This window comes from Homo sapiens, chromosome 11, assembly GCF_000001405.40.
Source record: "Homo sapiens chromosome 11, GRCh38.p14 Primary Assembly".
In the NCBI taxonomy this organism is placed as follows: Eukaryota; Metazoa; Chordata; class Mammalia; order Primates; family Hominidae; genus Homo; species Homo sapiens.
Window position 1 is genome coordinate 2820914 of NC_000011.10, and position 18994 is coordinate 2839907.

The 18994-nt window shown below is 58.9% G+C and overlaps 1 protein-coding gene across 6 annotated transcripts in view, besides 3 other annotated features; it reads left to right on the top strand.

Moving 5' to 3' along the window:
- Positions 1-18994, top strand: part of KCNQ1 (potassium voltage-gated channel subfamily Q member 1) — a 404098-nt gene that overhangs the window by 375906 nt on the left and 9198 nt on the right. The window lies entirely within an intron of this gene.
- Positions 6652-7552: an enhancer, noted in NCBI's record as "H3K4me1 hESC enhancer chr11:2848795-2849695 (GRCh37/hg19 assembly coordinates)". NCBI's record gives its function as "activates a minimal SCP1, AML or CMV promoter by ChIP-STARR-seq in naive H9 embryonic stem cells {active_cell/tissue: H9 hESC(naive)}" and the evidence as "EXISTENCE:reporter gene assay evidence [ECO:0000049][PMID:30033119]".
- Positions 14056-14923: an enhancer, noted in NCBI's record as "H3K4me1 hESC enhancer chr11:2856199-2857066 (GRCh37/hg19 assembly coordinates)". NCBI's record gives its function as "activates a minimal SCP1, AML or CMV promoter by ChIP-STARR-seq in primed H9 embryonic stem cells {active_cell/tissue: H9 hESC(primed)}" and the evidence as "EXISTENCE:reporter gene assay evidence [ECO:0000049][PMID:30033119]".
- Positions 14924-15790: an enhancer, noted in NCBI's record as "H3K4me1 hESC enhancer chr11:2857067-2857933 (GRCh37/hg19 assembly coordinates)". NCBI's record gives its function as "activates a minimal SCP1, AML or CMV promoter by ChIP-STARR-seq in primed H9 embryonic stem cells {active_cell/tissue: H9 hESC(primed)}" and the evidence as "EXISTENCE:reporter gene assay evidence [ECO:0000049][PMID:30033119]".

The following is an 18994-nucleotide window of genomic DNA, read 5'->3' on the forward strand; positions in this document are numbered from 1 at the left end:
CCTACACCCCACCTCCATTGCTGCTCACCCTCCCCTGGCCCGTGCTGGGCCTCGGCCATCTCTGGGGCTGTTTCTAGGCCCATCTAAGCGAGGGGTTCCTTAACCTGCCTTGCTTTTGCAGCTGCCTGAACCTCCCTCTAAGGACATCAGCACTCTTCGGAGGCCAGGTCCGGCCTGCTCTGCTGCCTTGGTGGGAAGCTTTCGTCCCTGCAGGGTGGGGTGGGTCTGTCAAGTGTTCGGTGGCCCCTGGCTGGTGCTGTAGCAACACGGGTGTCAGAGGGCGGACACCGAAGCCTGGTGCTCTGTGCGAGTCCCGTTTCCTCGCCTCTCAGCTGTGTGACTCCAGGTGCAGAGGCCCCGCGTGGGGCAGGAGCACTGCAAGCGAGAGGATGGGAAGGTGGCCGTGGGCCTGGCAAGGGTTGGGGAATATGGTGAGAATGGTGCCCATGGGGTCACGCCAGCCACACACACTTTCTCGAGAAGTTTCAAGTGGAGCCACAGGGCCATTGTGTGTCCTGAATCATTGCTCTGGCTGAGGGAGTCTGGGGACCCATGAGGGCCAGATGGATGGGCTCAGATGGAGTGGGAGGCCATTGGGAAGTGGCTGGTAAAAAGCCTCATGAGGGCAGAGCCCCACTGACCCCACACAGTTACCCATGGTGTCCCCTTCCCCACGTGGTAATTCTGGACTGTTCACAGTGGCTTCCAAGGCCTTTGGGATGGGCCTTGCGTGCTGCCCTTCTGCTGGAAACCCTCCCAGCCATTTGAGGTCCTGCCCTCTGCTCACCTTGTTCCCTGTGCCCATGACATCTCCCCACCTTTTCCTGGCTGCTATGTACTGGTCCTATAGGGGTTCCTTAAAGGGTGCATCTTCCAAGCCACTCCTGTTGCCCTCCTCTGCAGCCACATCCCTGCTCTGCACACCCCCACCCCAGCAAGTGTGTGTGAGCTCTGTAGTCGTGTCATGGCCCCAGTGATGTCCTCATTCTATCCCTGTCCCTTCATGGCAGAGTGGACTTTGCAGGGTGACTAAGTGAAGGATCCAGAGATGGGGAGATGATCCTGGGTTATCCAGGGGCCCCGAATGTGATCACAAGGGTCCTTCTAAGAGGGAGGCAGGAGGGTCAGTCAGCGGAGAAGACAGGGGGATGGAAGCAGAGCTCAGAGAGGCTGAAGGTGCTGTGCTGCTGGCTTTGAAGACGGAGGAGGGGCCACAGCCCAGGAACGCAGGCAGCTTCTAGAAAACCGGAGAAGGTGAGGAATGAATCAGCCCTAGAGCCTCCAGCAGGTATCAGCCCTGCTGACACCTTGTTAGCCCGGTGAGACTCCTGACCTCCAGTGCTGCAAGATGTCACACACGTGTTGCGCTATGCTTGTGGTAACATGGCACCACAGTGCAGGATGCTGACACAAGCACCAGCACAGCGCCAGGCCCTGGGGTATAGTGTGGATAAGATGGACTGGACCCTACCCTCCTAGGGATGTCCCTCTAGGAGGTGGAGGTGGGGAAATGGGGACAGATATTAGGCCATTATGGCAGAATGCAAGTGTTTAGTTAGAACTGTGCTAAGTGCGTAAAGAGAGCTAAAGGCTACATAATAAGTTGTGAGCCTACCTAGGGTATTAGCAGAGGTGTCCCAAGGAAGCTCCCTGTGAGCCGAACCCCAAAGGATGGGTGGAAATTAGCTTAACTAAGTGGAGAGGTGGGATAGTCATGGGCCAAGGCCCCAAGGCAGGAAGGAATAGGCCTGGTCTGTGGGTCTGAGAGGATGGAGAGGGCTGAACACGGGCCAAAGGAGAAAGTTAGGGAGGGAAGGTGGAGTCCTTGGCAGGGGCTCAGCTCAGAACAGGGGGAGCCCCAAAGGATGTGAGGCAAGGGAGCAATGAACAAATCTCACCATTGTAAGATCTGAAATTCAGAACGGTGGCATAGGCCAGAGTAGGACATTGTGAAAAAGAAACAATTAGAGAAGCAGAAAGAGTGCTTGGAAATGTCAATTATGCTGCTGAATTAAAAAAAAAAAAATCAGTAAAAGATGGAAGTAAATCTCCCTGAAAGTGGAATGAAGACTGAAAGACAGAAAATCAGAACACCCAAGAAACATGCAGACTCAATCCAAGGACATCCAATATCCTGCTATTGGAAGTTCCAGAAAGGGAGATGAGAGGAAATAGAGACTAAAGAAAGGGCCCACTGAGAACCTCTAGCAGAAAAGAGCAGCCACTGTGTCATCATGCCCTTCAGGAACAGCAGAGATAAAGACAACATTCTAGAATCTTCTCAAAGAAGTAACAGGTGATTTTCCAAACATGGGCCTCTGAACAGATCAGTCTTTGGTAGAGAAAATTTATGAAGAGAGATGCCTTCAAAATTGTGAAGGAAAATAAAATTCTATACCTAGCCAAAGTATCTATCAAGGGTGAGGATACAGTAAAGACATTTTCAGATACTCAAGAACTTATAAAATTTTTCCAAGTCACTGCAGGAAAAAAGTATAGAATTTGCTTTCTATCCCTTTTCTTAGAAGGTTCTGGAGAATGCACTCCAGCAAAACGTGGGAGGAAACCAGGGAAAAGGAAGGCACCAACAACAAGGAGGCAGAAGACCCTACACAGACAGAACAGGGAGGTCCAAGCCCAGCAGCTGGCTCAGGGCTACAGGCCTCCAGCCCAGGCAGCCCAGGCAGGAGCAGAGGACAGGATACTCCTGAAGAGGCCACCCAGGAAGAGAAAATAGGTGGGACTGGGAAGAAAATCTGCAACGGAGCTTCCAAAACAGCGGAGGATCTCCCTGAGGGAGGTGTTGTTAGAGAAGAGAGCAGAGAAGCAGGAGAACCCAGAAAGGAAATGTGAGCACAGTATACCCCCTGGCTCTGTGGGGGACCCAGGCAGTGGGCATAGATTTCATCAAAACAATGGGGAAGCTGTGCTGGACAGTTAGAGGGTGGACAAAGCCGAGGGTGGGGTGAGAGCTTAAGCCTCACCTTCATACAAGGAAGATTCTAGTAGCTAAGATTGACAAGTCGAGAAACCATGTGGCCAGCATGTCACCAAAAGCTGATAAGAGGACCAGTGATGGGCTTCCCGGGAGTGGAGCTGGGCATGCACACTAAGGCCTGGAGGCTTGTGCTTATCCATCATATAGCAGGCCTGCCCTTTCCACAGCACAAACACCTTGACACACACCGTCACACACACCCATATTCGACACACACATTCACACAAACACACCCAGACACATGCATGCACATGGATAACTAACTCTTCCAGCAAGAGCCACCCCCTGGCTGAAGTGTGAGGCTGTCCATGGAGGGGCCAGAGTAGAGGGGAGGTGGGTGAGGAGGCTACGCAGAGGCCCTGGGAGGAGGGAGGCTAGGCCCAGGGGTGGAAAGAAGACAGATACGAGAGGGGATTTGGAGACACAATCCCCAGACTTGGGGACGAGCTGGATATGGTGGTGAAGGAGGGGAGTCTTCAGGAAAGACCCCCAGGTTCTGGCTTGGCCATATGTTGGAGGCTGAAACGATTCATCCAGACAGGAGCAGGGAGGAGGACACGCAGGGCCTGAAAGGTTCTGAGGTGTCCACGTGGAGGTGTTTGCCCGGCAGTTTAGGCTGCAAGGCTCAGCAGGGAGATTGGAGCTGAAAACAGAGGCTGCAACATGGAGGTGGTACCTGAAGAAGGGGTGTGGATGAGGTTGCCTGGCAAGAGATTGCAGGGAGAGGAGAGAGTGAGAATGGGGCCACTCAAGGGGTGAACAGGGCCTTGCAGTACAGGAAGCAGCTGGGGGTGGCGGGAAGAAGACAGTCAGGAGCTTGGGCATCCTAGAGGCCCCCGGGACAGCTTTGAGGAAGGAACGTCCCCTGGGTTCCACACCACAGAGCCATAGAATTCTGTACTTGGCCTGTCTCAGTGCCGTGCCGCATCCATCCTGCCCCTGGCACCGGAGGGTACACTGATCAGGGACACGAGTTCCCCTGCCGGGCACAGAGCAGGTTCCCAGTGAGTTCTGGGGCCTCAGTGACTGGGCAAGGACAGGGGCGTTTGGACAGGGGAGGCCGGGTGTGGATGGAAGCTGTACGATGGGGCCTGGGCCAGGGATTGTGGGCCAGCTCCGAGCTCAGACATTGGTCTGCACATGTGGCTGGTGCAGGAGGCGCAGTGTGCTGGGCCTCAGCCTGGACACGGCTGTCCCATGCGCAGAGACAGGGTCACGGTGGAAAGAGAGTCCAGAGAACATGGGAGGTGCCGTTTCCCTGCGGCGGGACTGGGGCTGGGGCCCGGCTTCCCCGACCCTGCTGTCGGGCGTGTGCCTTCATAGCCCAGGAAGCCAGTTCCTGGCAGGGTGGGCTCTGCAGCCAGGCCGCCAGGGTGCAGACCCAGACCAATGGGAGGCCAAGGGAGGCCCGCAGCCCAGACCTTCCGAGCCCTCAGCCTGCTCAGCTCAGTGTCCTTCCAGGGAAATGGGCGTTTCCTGTGGGAAGGTGCCAGGGGCCCCGGGTGCTGGAAGAGCAAGCACCACGCGGGGGGGTAGGGGCGCCCCAGCCCTCTACTGGCCAGTGTCCCTCCAGTCGTCCAGCCCTTGCTGCCAGGGGCCCCGCCCATGTGCCTGGAATCACACCCTGGACGCTTCCTTCTTTGGGTTAGATGTCGTCGTCTTCAACAAATATTTTCTGAATGTCTGCTATGTACTAGACTCTGGGAACACAGGGGAAAGTATGTGGACCTGCCCATGAGGAAGTCAGTACAGTGGGGCCATGAACAATAAACAGACAATTAATTATCCTTCGCGGAGCTGCGCGGGGGCAGCTCTCCCAAAGCAGTCAGTCATTCACACTTCAGTATGAATGAGTCTCCGGGTACTTTGCTCAGTAACGGACTGGACCAGCGCGGCCTCCACGCCAGGGACTGGGGCAAGGGTGGAGTTTGGAGTAAAGAGAGAGGCAGGGCAACCCCTTTCCACAGACACTTTACCACCTCCCCACATTGACAAGCTGGCTCCCCAGGGCCACCCGGAGCCCCTTCCTCAGATCCTGTCCCCATTGGCATGGTCTCAGCCCCTCCTGCCCCAGTACCCTCTCCCCGAGGCCTCGTCCTCCCCGCCATCCTGGAAACGATTTTGTTGTCTGCAGAGATTATGTGTAACTGCCTGTGAGTTATAAGCCTCCACAGCAAGCAGCCTGTTACCTAACCAGGCCTGGCTCATGCCAATGTCTTGAGTAATTATTGGGGGGCGGGGGCTGTCCAGCCCGCAGCAGAACCTCTCCGAGGGAGTGCTATTGTTTTTCATGTCAGCTGCATTTTAAGGCTACATTTCACGTCAGCTGTGACTTGGAAGGAAAGAGGGCCCGGCCTTTGAAAAATGAAGAAATTGAGCCGGGGTTGGGGGCGGGGAGGGCAGGTTAACCCTTCGGGCTCCAGTATTCCCCAGCTTCCCAGGGTCTCCTGGCAGTAACCAGGCCAGCTGGGGGTCAGAACCCGCGGCCAGGCCCAGCAGCCGCCTCTTGGCAGCGCTGATGGAAACCGCCGTGCGGTTCCGCGCAGACAGTCACGGAAACTCAGGCAGACCCGGCGTTGGGTGCGCCAGGCCGGTGTGGGAGCACTTTCCCCCGCCCCCTCCTGCTGCTGCTTCCCCGAAGGCCTCCCCAGCAGACCTGCAGCTGGGCACCCACAGGGTAGAAATGCCCTGGATTGGCTGTGGCACAAGAGGGCTGGCCCAGCACACCCAGCCCACCACTGTGCTCCCAGAGGGAGAACAGAGAGGGGTGCAGAGGGCCAGAGAGGCACGGGGCTCCCCTGGGCACCCCTCGTCTTGGGGCCCCTGCCCTGCCTCCACTCAGAATCCCACTATGTGCTTGGAGCCATGCTGGGTGCTGGGGAGACACACTAACCACTTCCCCATATGCTCACAGCCAGAGAGACACACAGGCCAGCAGCCTGTAAACCACTGGGTGTGGGGTGTCTGGTCCTGGAGTGACAAGGACAGGGAGGAAGAAAGCCAGGCAGGTGGCCCATGAGCCGTGGAGTAGGTGGGGAAGGGGACATCTCCAAGGAGGTGACATCGGAGCAGTCCTCTAAGGAGTTTGGAGTCATTTTCAGTCACTCACAAGCCACAGGAGGGCTTCAGCCTGAAGCTCAGAGGTGATGTGCTTAGATGTCACAGAGCCGGGAGGGGAACAGGCTGGGCTGCAGAGAGGAGGCCAGGCACAGTCACCTCGTGTTGCTGTCCCCCAGGTAGGAGATAAGGGACCAGAGTCAGGGCAGGTGGGAGAAGGGGAGGTTCTTGGTTCAGCTGCTGCTGAGACAGTGACCCTGGGGACAGCCCAAATAAGAGAGAACTTTGCCACCCGCAGGGTCCCAGAGTAGCAGAAGCTTCAGGGCTGATGTGTGCCTGGTGAATCAGCCTGGCCCCAGACCTCCTCTCTCTGCTTGCTTTCCTGTCCACAATCCAGTGCTTCTGTCCTATGGTCCCCAGCGGCTGCTCCTGCATTCACCATCACATCTGCATTCCAGCAGCAGGAGGGAGGTAAAAGACATGAAGGACAGGCCCCACTCCTGTAAAACCCTACACAGAAGCGGCCCACGTCATCCCCCTTTCTGTCCACCCGCCGGAATGTGACGCACGCCTGAGTCGCTGCAAGGGCCCCTGGGGACGGAGTCTCTATTCCAGGCAGGCAAACACTCAGCTTAATTCAGGGTTCTGTTGATTAAAAAAAAAAAGTGGGGTCGGGGGGGCGGGGGAGAGCGGCTATGGAGACAAGTGGCTGTTTTGCCAGAGGGAAAATTCCACATGTGGCTTGGAGGCCAGACCAGAAGGACTCAGATAGGAGTTGGGCGCTTGAGGGAGGAAATGGGGGTACACTTCAGCGGCTCAGGCCAGGGTGTAAGTAGCAGGTATGTGGTGGTACTGTTTTCCGGAATGAAGAGGAAGGGGCGGGCAGAAGGCAGCGAGAGCTTTGTTTGGGGTGTGTCGAATTCAAGATGCCTCTGAGACATGGAAGTGGTGAGGTCAGGGGCCGGGAACCCTATGGTGGTGTTGGCCCTGAGTCCAAGCCAGGCACCACCGGGCACATAGAGGTCTTGAAAGCTCGAATGTGGGGAGGCCAGCAACAGAGGGAACACTACCTGCAAAGGGGCGAGGGCAGGACAAAGGCTGGCAGCACCACACAGGAGCCAGCAGGGAAGGGGCCACAGCCGGGACTCAGAGGAGGCAGCCACGTGCAGAAAGGCACCCATGGGAACATGGCTCCTGGGAGCTGGAGGACCTCAGCAGGCAGGGACTAGCACCCAAGAAGAAAACTCTGAGAAGTCAGGACAGGAGATGGTGTCGTCAGGGGGCTGCTGGAAGGTTTGGTGACCGGAGCAGCAGGTGCCAGAGCTGAAAGCACTGGTTAAACGTGATGGGTAAACACATGTCTATTTCAGCTTCTTTGAATCCCACTAAGGTGACAGTAAAGGCATGAAAAACATGGAAACATGTAAATCAACTAGGGTAAAGTGGTCAGGAGAAAAGAGGAGACCAAAAATATGTTGACAAAGGTTTGGAAGCTGGGAAGCAGGAGGACAGATGGAGACTGGCCTAGGAGACTGGAGAGGGTAGACACCAAGCCCTGCAGGAAGAAGAGCCACCAAGAATGAGGCAGTTCCCAACCCAGGACCCTGACAGGCAGGTCTCACCCCAGCCCATGAAGCCAGATGCTACTGATTCTCAAGCTCAGCTAGAGACAGGTTGAGTCTCCAGAAAAGCTGAGCCTGAGAGGTTCTGAACTTGGAGCCACCAGGAGCAGTTGTGGGTGGGGCAGGAGCTCTCGTGATGAAAACAACAGGGATTCAGTAAATGCATTCAAGCTAAAAAGGAAGACCTCCTCCCCCACTTCCCTCATCAACTCCCAGAATGCCCGGTGGGGCACACCATTGTTTTCAGAACACCAGCAATAAAGCAGACACTCCACATTTCCAGAGAGAAAAAGTAAGTCACACACAAGAGAATAGAAAATCAAAACGGTATCCAATTTCTTAACAGCAATTCAGAAAGCTAGCACATAGTAGAGAAATGCCTTCAAACATCTGAGGGAAAAAATGATTTCCCATCCAGAATTCTATACCTAGTCAAACTCTCAGGTATGAGAATAGAATAAAGACATTTCCAAACATGCACAGTCAAAAATTGTATCTACCACATGCCTTTTCTCAGAAAGTTACTTGAGGACGTGCTCTAGCAAAATGAGAGGAAAAAACAAAGAAAGAGAAACACAATTCAAGAACCAGGGAGACTCCAACACCAAAAACAAAAGGCCAAGAGAATTTTCAACATGAGTGAAAGAAGTTCTAGCATTACAGCTGCTCAGCATGCCTACAGTGCAAACAGTCCTGCTAAGACTCCAGGAAGAAATCCCAGAAGAAAAAAAAAATGAAGGTGATAGACTGCCAGTATTCTCAATAGGATGAAAGAAGTTTTACAATTCTTACAGAAAGTTCAAGAATGAATTAGTGACAGATGCAGTAAAAAACAAGCAAAACCTAAGGCCATTTGTAACCCAAGGGAAAACAAGAAGATGTAATCATAACAGACCACAGGACACAGCTAAAAACAGTGATTACATAGTGACATAAAGAGTTATATACTGTTTGTGTAAAATGCAAACAGTAAGTACTTATTTAGCCTAGAATTCTAATTTAACTGTGTTGGAAAGATAAGGGAGTGGGGAGGGCAGGGGCATGAGAACAAAATCTTGATCACTTCTCTTCCATGTTAGGCAGTCACTAGATAATGTCTAAAGTGACAAAATTTCAAGGAACAGCAATGTAAATGTGTAGTTTGGAAATGCCAAGGTAAAGCCAAGAGATAGTCGGTAGGGTTGAAGGGCTGCCTCTGGGAACAGAAATTAGAGATAGAAGATCTAGCGCCCAGGGAAGGCTGTTTAAAGATGGGAGAGCTTCACGGGTTTTCTCACTAAGGGTAAGAAAATTTAAGAAGGAAGTGATGGTGCCAGAGAATAGGGAATTCTGCCAATACCCTGGTGGGGAGGGGGAGGGGGAGGGGGAGGAGGATGAGAAGGAAGGAGGAGGGAGGAGGAAGGAAGAGGGAGGAGGAAGGAGGAGGAAGGAGGAGGAAGGAGGAGGGAGGAGGAAGGAGGAGGGAGGAGGGAGGAAGAGAGAGAAGGAAGAGATTGGCCAAGGAGCTCTGAGAGGGGAAGGTGGGTGCATGCCACCCTGGCTGGGAACAGCAGGTGTGTGGTGAAGGGGAAAGACCAGCAGGCCCTTTACACCGTGGGCACAGGCTCAGGACTGGCTGGGTGCTACGCAGGAGCCCTCTGACTAGCTGGGGCTGGGGCTGTGCAGGATAAGGCCAGTGAGAGAAGAGGACTCACTGGTGGGTGCCTCCTCCCCACCTTTAGCAAGGGTTGACAGAGGGATCTGGGCTCTTCCCTGGGCAGGCATCCCAGAGCTATGACCTGAATGATATCTTAGATGATCTCCAAGGCCCCGGGATCTAAGTCCCTGTTAAGTCCCCTGTTAAAGGACCTAGGTCCTCCCAATGGCCTGCAAACCACACCCAGTCTAGTCAGCATGTATCCCCACACCCCAGTCCCAGTGTCCCAAGAACCTCTTCCTCCAGCCCCGGGAGCAGGAAGGGCGGGCTGGGAGCTGCAGGATGGGGCCTGAATCTCTCATCAACTCACAGGGTCAGCCTGGGCCAGGCAGGCTGGGGGCCAGCCCAGGACCTCCTTCCTGGGTGGAGACCTTCCCACCCTTCCACTCACCTTCCGAGCATTGTGGGCCTTCCCAGGAACCCCCACATCTCCGTGGCCCTCAGACCTCTGACCTCCCAAGGGCACCCCACGTGTGTGCCCTCCAGCACCCTGGCCACAGAGCCACACACCTGGGCCTTCCCCTCTCCCCATCATCAGGTAACCCAGCACAGGCTGGCCCAACCCCTCTCTAGGCCTCAGCTTTCCTGTCAGGAAAATGCAGGGTTAGGAGCTGACCAGGGAGTCTTTGAAACCGCAAGGGTACCCTTGGGAGACCCCGTGCAGGTCTTGTCAAGGCAGGACAGGGAAGTGGTGATGATGAGAGGCAGCTGGTCTGGGTGCTCAGCCCCACCCCAGCACCCGCCCAATGGGCCCCCTGAGGGAAGCTGCCCATGCTCTCTGCGCCCCATTTTCTGGCCTCTGGCATGCAGAGGGCAGCCCTGCCTGCTTCCCAGTATGGCTGTGAAGCCAAAGGCGGCGATCAATGGGATGTTCTCAGAATGACAGGTGCTCTGTGATCAGCAGCAGCTGCTACAGGGATGGCCATCGGGTGCAGGGCAGGATGTCCCTGAGGAGGCACCTCAGCAGACGTGATGGGTGCCTGTGCCCACAGTTGGGCCATGAGAAGAAGTATGTGGCCCGGCCTGCCCTACACCATCAGGGGGTGCTTGGACCAGTGGCGGCTGGAAATAACCCATGAACAGGGGAGAGAAGGGGTGAATGCCTTGTAGGCCTGGAACACTGTGGGGCTGTCGAAGGTGCTTCTGCCTCCAGGAAGCCCTCCCTGACTGTGGAGACACAAGAAGCTCTCCAGGTCTCTGGGTCCCTCTGGTACTCTGTGCCCTGAACCACCACCCTTAGGCCCAGATCTATTCCTGATCCTTCTCTAGACTTCAGTCAGTTTCCTCTTGATGTCCTGGATGGCCACAACCATAGTGTCCCCTCCGCTCCTCTCTCCCCCGCTTCCTTCCACATTGCCCCTCCTCCCCTTTCCCCTTCCCCACCACTGCTCCCCTCCTTCCTCCAGCACCCTTCTCCCCGCTGCCCTCCCCTCCCCTCCCCGCTGCCCTCCTCTGCCTCTCTCCGTTGCCCCCTCCTCCCTCCCCCACCAGAGCCCTGGAAGGCTAGGTACAGCGAGGAAGTGGCCACTCCATGACCCCCAGTGATTTCACTTCTCTGAGCCTCAAGAGTCTCACCTGTCCAGGGTCCATGGGATATGCCTGACTCAGCCCCTGGCACATGGTCTTGCAGTGGCCTGAGCTGGACATGCCCCTGGTAGGAAGCTGGAAAGGAGGCCCTGCCCGTGTACCAGGAGCCTCTGCTCCAGGGGGGTGGCCTGAGGCCCAGGCAGACCTCCACCTCCAGGCAGCCCTGCAGGTGGACAGCTGGGCCTCAGGCTTAGGACCTGGGACAACTGCCTAGACTACCCCCAGCCTTCCTGACAGGTGATAGCTTCATTGTCCCCAGGACACACACCAGCCCGGTCCCCACCCTACCCTTTCCCAGCACCCCTGAGGGAAGGCCTGGCCCCTCAGGCACAGTGGGGGTTGCCCGGCATCTTGGCAGATGGGCAGCGTTAGAGAAGCCTTGGACCTGGCCCTGCAAATGGAGGTACCAGAGGGCTGAACTAGATGAGGGACTTGAAGGCTCAGATGCCTGTGCGGGACCTGGCAGGGTGGGGGCTTCCGGGCTGGGAGACTAGGACAGGGTGCCTGTGTCCCCTCCTGGGAGTGGGGCCGTCAGAGCTCCGACCGCACAGGGTCATGGGGAGCAAGAGGAACCAGGATACCCACAAGCTGCTCGCTCAGACGGGCTCTGCGACTCCACAACTCACCTTCCCCTACTGCAAGATCAGGGAGATGGGACGCAGTCCCCGCCCATGCCCAGGGCCTTGGCAGGGTCAGGAGAGCCAGTGCAGGCAAAGCGCCAAGCACCCTGCTGCCTGGGAGACCACAGTTGCAGCAGGAAGCCCTCCTCAGGTCTGCCCGCCTCCCCGGAGCATGTTCCCTCTGTAGCTCCCGGTAGGGCCTGTGTGGAGAAGGTTGCTGATGGCATCACTGAGCGGCCCAGCTGTGGGGTGAAAGGCAAGGCTGGGGCTGATGCTCCCCAAGGCAGGAGGAGACCATGGTCTGGCTGGGGCTGCCCCAGGTGACAACTGTAGGGTGTGGGGAAGGTGGCTGCCACCGCCGTGGTCCACAGGGCCTGGCCAGGGCTCCATGGGGCAGAAGCCATGCCCAGCTCAGGGGGCTTCACTCCACTCTCCCACTTTGACCTGGTCCCTCCCCTCTCCCCCAGAGTGACCTGGACACTAGCCTCCTCCCAGTGGGAGACAGATGTGGGCAATGCAGCTGCTGTTCCCTGCTCAGGGCAGGCTGGTGCCCAAGGACTGCCCACCAGACCAGGGGATAAGAGGTTGGCAGCATCGTCCATGGTTATCCCACAGCTAGGAGGCTGTGGGTGTGGGAGAACATGCTGGGTAGGGGTGCCTGTGTGCCTCTGGAGTCGAGGCAATTAGAGGCCCTGTGGAAGCCCCTGCACGCAAGGGGCCCACGCGCCAGGGCAGAGGACATAGCCCCTTCTTGCTTCCCTGAGGGACGGGAGGCCTGTGGACTTCTGGACACAATGGCAGAGTCAGGGCAGCCAAGCCGGGCCAGTGCCCTGGAGCCGAGTCCTCCCCCCACCTGCCCACATGCCCCACCCCTCTCCAAGCTTCTCCCCTCATAGGATCCCAGAGCCCCTTGGGACCTCTGTGAAGACTGCATAGATGTGAGGGAGTCTCAGCCTTAGGGTGGGCACCTGGGCGCAGCTGTCAGGCCCCAAGTCAGCCCCAGGCACGTGGACCTGGGAGCCAGCCTCAAGGGCAGGGGTCCCCGAGCATCCCCACTGCTGCCCCGCCAGCAACCGTGTCACTGGGAGGCAAGAGGCTGGGTTCCTGGGGTGGGCAGGCTTCCCCGCTTCACTCCATTTGCAGCCCCTGTCTTGCAGAGGCAAAATGGAGGTTCAGAGAGGTGAGCAAACACCAGGTCCCATGTTTGCACCTGGCTGTGACCGTGCAGTCCACTGGGCCCAGCAGCAGGAACTGGGGCAAGTGCCCCGAGACGGGACCGAGACAACAGTGGGGAAGGTGGGACAGGCAGCTGGGGGAAGGCCAGAGTGTCCAGCACCAGCGCCAGGGGCCGTTCCGACAGGCTGAGGAGCGGCGGGGAGCGGGGCTTGCCAAATATGTCCAGATGGGGCTGGAGCCCCAGCAACTTCCTGCCCTCCCAGCCTGCTCCCCCACCTCCTCACCCCCTTCCCAGGCTGTCAGCAGGGGCTGGGGGGCAGCAGAACCCCACTTAGCCACAAGGAGTGCAGCCAGGGGCTGGCTCCCGGGAGGACATGGGCAGAGGCTTAGGTCCCCTTACACACACACACTGCTGCATTCGTGCAGGATGGGCTCAGCGCCTGCTGTGCCTGGCGTGGCTGTGTGCATGGCATGGTGGTGGCATGGTGGGAGTGGTGTGGCACATGGTGTGGCACATGGCATGGCTGGGGCTGGGGCTGGGTTGTGTAGCATGTGGAGTGGCAAGGTGCGTGACATGGTGTATGGCATGGTAGTGTGCCCCTCGAGCCATGTGTCCAGGTGGGGCAGATCATGGAGGGCGCCCAGGTGCGGTGCTGAGGCTGAGCATGCACTGGCTGGGGAGGGTGGGCAGAGCAGGAGGAAATCCCTTGTTCTCCGGAGCTGGAGAGCCAGAAAGAGCCCTGCAGCCTGGGCCTCATCATCACACCTCGCCCTCAAGGCCTCCAGGCACAGCATCCACTGCCAGCCTCTGCTCCTGCCTCTGAGGGTCTGTCTCCAAGGTCTTTTGGGGGCTGCCCCAGCTCCCCCAACACAGACAGCACCAGAGCTGGGCCCACCTGTGAGGTGCTGAGTTCCCCATCTCAGAGACTGTGCGAGCAGAGGCAGGGAGGCGCTTGATGTCGGATGGAGAAAGGACAGGGGAGGGGTGTGGGGCTCAGGGCCCCGCCAGGTGAAGGAACAAGCTTGGAAGGGTGTCCTTATGTCTGAGAGTTGGGGAGACACCCCCAAGCCCCAGATGGGCCTCGAATGCCAGGCAGGGCCAAGCTGGGCCCAGAAGTGGGAAGGATCCCTTGGCTGCCCCAGGAATGCAGGTTCCGGGGCAAGAATCCAGCCCTGGCTGGTTGAAGTCCATCCCAAGTCTCCCTCCCCACGAGGCTCCTGCAGATGCCAGGAATGGGGCTGGATTCCAGATTCCAAGCCTGGCCGCCCAGCCCCTATCTGGGACCCCAGCCCAGGGCCCCCAGGCCTGGCCTCCAACCTGGCCCCAGCCTCAGGGGAGCTGAATTCAGAGAATCCTGTCCTAGGAGCCAGAAGCGGGGGAGGGAGGGAGGGCGGCCCTGTCCTGGGTGCAGGCCCGGGGGCTGGGGGCTGCCCGCCCGTCTGGGTCAGCCGCAGCTGCAAACCGGCCCTGGCTGAGTCATGGGGCCTCCATCTCCAGGCCTGGCTTGAGGTGGGAATAGCAGTGAGGTTGGACATCCAGGCACCTGGAGGGTGGGCAGGGCTCCCTGCGGCTGGGGTGGCCAGTGGCACCTGGCTGTTGCCCCCCTGCACCCCAGCCCTTTGGCCCCCAAGTCTCTGCCACCTCCCTGGGGTTCTGCTCCCATATTCCTCACACCCAGCACAGAACCCAGCATGTCTCCTGTAGACACCTGCATATAAACCCTGACTCACACACACACACACACACACACACACACACGCACACATGCAGGCCAGGCTCCTCGGCCAGTCACCCTACCGGCAGAGCTCTAGACATTTCTGGCCTCTGGTGACTATTCTTCAGGCAGCTCACCCTGCAAGTCTTTATTGAGCACCTACTGTGTGCCAGGCAGTGGTACAGCAAGGGCAGAAGCCCCACCTCCAAGGAGCTGACCCCCTGCCGTGGCAGAGACAGAAAACAAAGGCAGCACCACAGCGACGAGGGCCTGAGAGGAAAGTGGAGCAGGAGCCTGCAGCATGCTGGGGCAGGGGTGTCTTTAGAAAGGGTACTGGGAGGGCCCTGGCAAGGGACTTAAGTAATTACTTAAAGGAGGGAAAGGGTGGCCTGGGGCTCACAGAGGAAAAGCCTTCCTCATGGAGGCGGCGGGGCAGCGGGCTCAGCCTGCAGTGTCCAGGAGCGACGGGAAGCCTCGTGGGGCTGTTGGGAGACAGCAAGACCTGGGTCAGCAGAGCACCGTGTGGGGTAAGCAGATGACAGGGCAGTGACAGGGTGATCGGGCCCGGTCAGTGGTCCCAGGGGTCGGGGACAGGTGGGAATCGAAGTCATAGGAGGCGGGGCAAAGGCCACGGGGAAAGGGACAGAGCTGCTCCCAAGGACGCACCACCATGGGGTGCCCCGTGGCGTGGCGGGGGTGGGGGTCAGGACCTTTAGCAGAAGGTAAAGATGAGACCAAGAGGCAGATGGGTGGAAGAGTTGAAAGCAGCCAAGTGTCACCAAGGCATTTCTGAGGGAGAGGGACACGACTAGTGGCTCAAATCTTTAGAAATGAGGGGATGGGTCTGGTAGAGCACCCCAGATTCAAGGCGGGTGGCTTGGGGAAAGCAGGGAGAAGGGTCTGGAAACTGCTGCTGAGCAGGAGCCCCCACACCCACAGAGCAGGTGCAGGGAGGCCCATCTGTCCATCCGTCTGTCTGTGGGGAGGCATGGTGACGTTTCAGGCCGGAGGTAGAAGTTTTCACCCAGGAGGTAGAGGGTGAGGCCGGACTGCACTCCAAGGGGAGGAGGTGGGAGAGCACAGCCTGGCTGCTGCCACCAAGCTCCCCAGAAGAGGGGACCCCTCCCCCCGAACACCAGCACATGTAGGCAGAAAGACTTGGCCTGTGGAGCCCTCAGCCTCCACGCCCACCAGCAGGGACTGGGTGGTGATGTCAGCAATCCCCACAGAAAGGAGGGCTGCACAGCCGTCCCAGGAGCCAGCACTGTCCCCGTGATTCTACGTGCAGCCTCCACAAGTGTGTCGCATGGAAACAAGCAGTGGAGAGCCACATGTGTGTCACATCACGCCTCGCCTCACTCGTGCTAAACCTCGCTGACCAGGCAGAACCAGGCACGAGCTGCGTATCAAAGTTGCTGGAAGGAGAAACATCAGATCCCTAAGCTGGTTACCTGGCAGGCAGGGGCCCTAGAGGGAAATGGGGCAGGTGAAATGGAGATGTGTCTTTGAAATGTCTTTATTTGGCGGGAGAACGTCTTCATAGGGTACTTATACCATGAAAAACCCTGTACACAGACTAATTTTGAAGCAAACATGTGAGGCGTTCACAGAAAGGGTTCAGGAAGACAAGCACCCCAGCCGCAGAGAGCCCGTGGGCTGGGGGCACGGGGCATGGCAGCCCTCTCCTGGGGATGGGCAGGATGGGGCACGTAGGGCGGAGGAAGAGGCTCACATGGTGTGCGTGTTTGGGAGCACCCTGGGCAGCCTCTCGAGTGTCCAGAGAGAGGACACCGTCTTGAGCCAGCAGGGACAGCCAAGAGCGCCCGGGGAGAGGCCTGGGTGGAGACAGAACACAGCAGGCTGTGGGCGTGGCCAATGTTGAGGGACGGAGGTGGCCAGAGGCCTCTCAGTGGTGCCCAGGGAGCTGGGGACGAGGGGCCTCATCCTTCCCCTGAGCCCCTCCCTTCAGGCCCAGGGAGTGGCCTGGGGCCCAGGAGAGCCCGCTCCGCGCTCACAGCCTCCGTTCCCAGACACGCCCGGGCCTGAGCCCCCAGGCTGCACTGTGCCACAGAACAGACTCCCCGGCCCCTCCCTGCTCGAGAGGTGACCAAGGCCCAGGGTCTCCCAGCGAGCAAGAGGCCATTGAACTGTTGTTGGCTGTGCAGTGCCCTGCCCTCGGGGAGGCGGCCTCTAAGAAGCACACACCACCAGCAGGAACCGGGCAGACAGAGGTGGGGGATGGAAAGCAGGGGAAGTGGCCACAGCCAAACCAGGAGGGGGAAGGGAGGGGGCCTCACCAAGGAGACCCTCACCTGGGGCCTGGAGAATGAGAAGGGTCTGGAGGCTAAGGAGAGGGGTGGATGCTCCAGGAGGCAGGGCCAGCCCATGTGAGGGTCCTGAGGTAGGAACCAGAGGAAACCGGCTCTGGGGCGAGAAGGGCGGCGCCCAGGGGGCCACAGGGGCCGGCGGCGAGGGACCCTCAGCCGAGGCTGGTATCTCGAGAACAGCAGGGATGCCTCAAAGGTTCTCGCCCAGCAAGTGGACATTGTGGTGTGGGAGATCAGCAGGTGCCGGTGCTTTCTCTGTCTGCAGGAAGGAGAGGGGGTCATGGGCCCCAGAGGCCTCTGTCTTAGAGAAAAATGGTGGCAACGTGGGACAGACTGAGGAAGCCAGCCCAGAAACGTCCCGTCCCAAATTCAGGAATATTTAGGGTATACCTGCTGCACGCCAAGGGCAGTTTCAGGAAGGGGACCTACTTCTGAGAAGCAAACACCACCAGTAGGGACCAGGCAGACAGAGGTGGGGATGGAAGGAAGCCAGACTGACCTCACGTGGCTCACAGCCACTGGCAGGGTCGGGGGACAGGTGCCAAACTATCCACATGCCCGTCAGGCACCTGGAGGAGTGTGAAACGGCATGCAGAAAGAAGGAAGCAGGCTTGGGGCTGGGGGCCAGGGACCGGCGCGCCGGGAAGCAGGCTGCAGAGTGAGGCCAGGGATGGGGGCTGGGCCAGACCACAGGGTTGTGAGCGGACTCTGGCATTGATCCGGAGCCACTGAGGGTTAGAGCCTATGACTGACAGGGGTCTGACTTCCAGTGGTATGGGGCCACCCTGCTGGGCTGGGGAAGGGAGGCGAGAGGAAGTATCTAAGGTCTGCTTGTGGACTTCCGGGGACAGCGAGGGGTATTGCTGGGGTCCTAGGGGCTGGTGCGCTCAGAGGTTCCAGATGGCCCAGCAAGTGGCTGAGGGCCCAGGGTAGGGGAGGATGTGGGGGCAGCAGGGCCGATGTGGGCAGACCTGGAGCAATGACACGAGAACGGCCAGGCAGCCCTGGCTTCCCCTGCCCACCTGCCCCCGTGGCCGGGCTGGGGTTTGGCTGAGGCAGCAGAGCGCTCGCTGGCTGCCCGAACAAAGTGTTCTGCCTGGTGTCCCCTGGCCTCCGGGCCTCTGCGGGCTCGCCAGAGGGGGCAGCTCAGGAGGCAGCGGCAGAGAATCAAATGCAGGTGGGGCCTGTGCCCACCGCCAGCACAAACACGGCTCCTGGGCCCCCAGCCTGCCCGACGTTCCTGCCCGCCTGGCCCCCAAACAGAGGCCGATGGGACGAGCCCTGCCCGGGGTTGCACTAGGTGGGCAGGTGGGCAGGTGGGCAGGTGGGCAGCTGCCTCGGGCTCTTGGACAGAGCCGCCCCTGCCTGGCGTCTGCCGGCAGGAAGCTCCTGAGGCCGGGCTAGGGATAGGCCAGCCCTTGGGGGAGGCTCGAGACCCCATCCCAGCCTGGGGCTTCCCCACCCCCTCCCACCTGCCTGGCAGTGAGGCAGCTCCCTGGCCTCTGGGTGCACCTGGGCCTCCTGCCCAGGCCCCTTCCAAGGGAAGAGGGCAAAGGGGCTCCAGTGCCACCCAGGGAGTGTTGTGCCACGTGGGCCCCCCTGGCTCTGCCACTGACTCCCTCCATGACCTCTGTCCCCACCCTGAAGTTGACATGAATGTCCGCACGGAGCAGCCTCTGCAGGTCTGTGAGGCTGTGGATGTGACAGCTCTGGCTCTGGCACAAACGTCAGCCCCAACCCAGATGCAGGGAGGGAGGTGGCTGCGTGTCCAGGAGCACGGGGCCATGTGGCACCGGCTCATGTCAGCAGACACGGCACACATAGACCCCCTGGGGGCTATGACGAGGTGAGGGCTGAGCCGAGGGAGAATCCAGGAAGGCGTGCGGGCCGAGAGGAAGAGGAAGGGAGGCTCTGGTGGCTGGAGCCAGCTGGGGGAGGGAAGGCAGCAGGGGCTGGGATCCCTCAGCCCCCACAGCCGTGGTGCGGACTTTGTTGTTTGCTCAGAGTACAAAGAAGAGGCCTTCTCCGGGTTCTTAGCAGACGAGCGCGACCTCTCCGACCAGGGAGACAGACAAGAGGGGAGGTTATGAGGTCACCTGGGAGAGGTGTGGGTTCCAGCTCCCGTCGCCACTCCCCGACTGGATGCCAGAACGAGCCTGTCGTCTTTCACCTCCAGACAGCAGGGCCCTGGCTCCC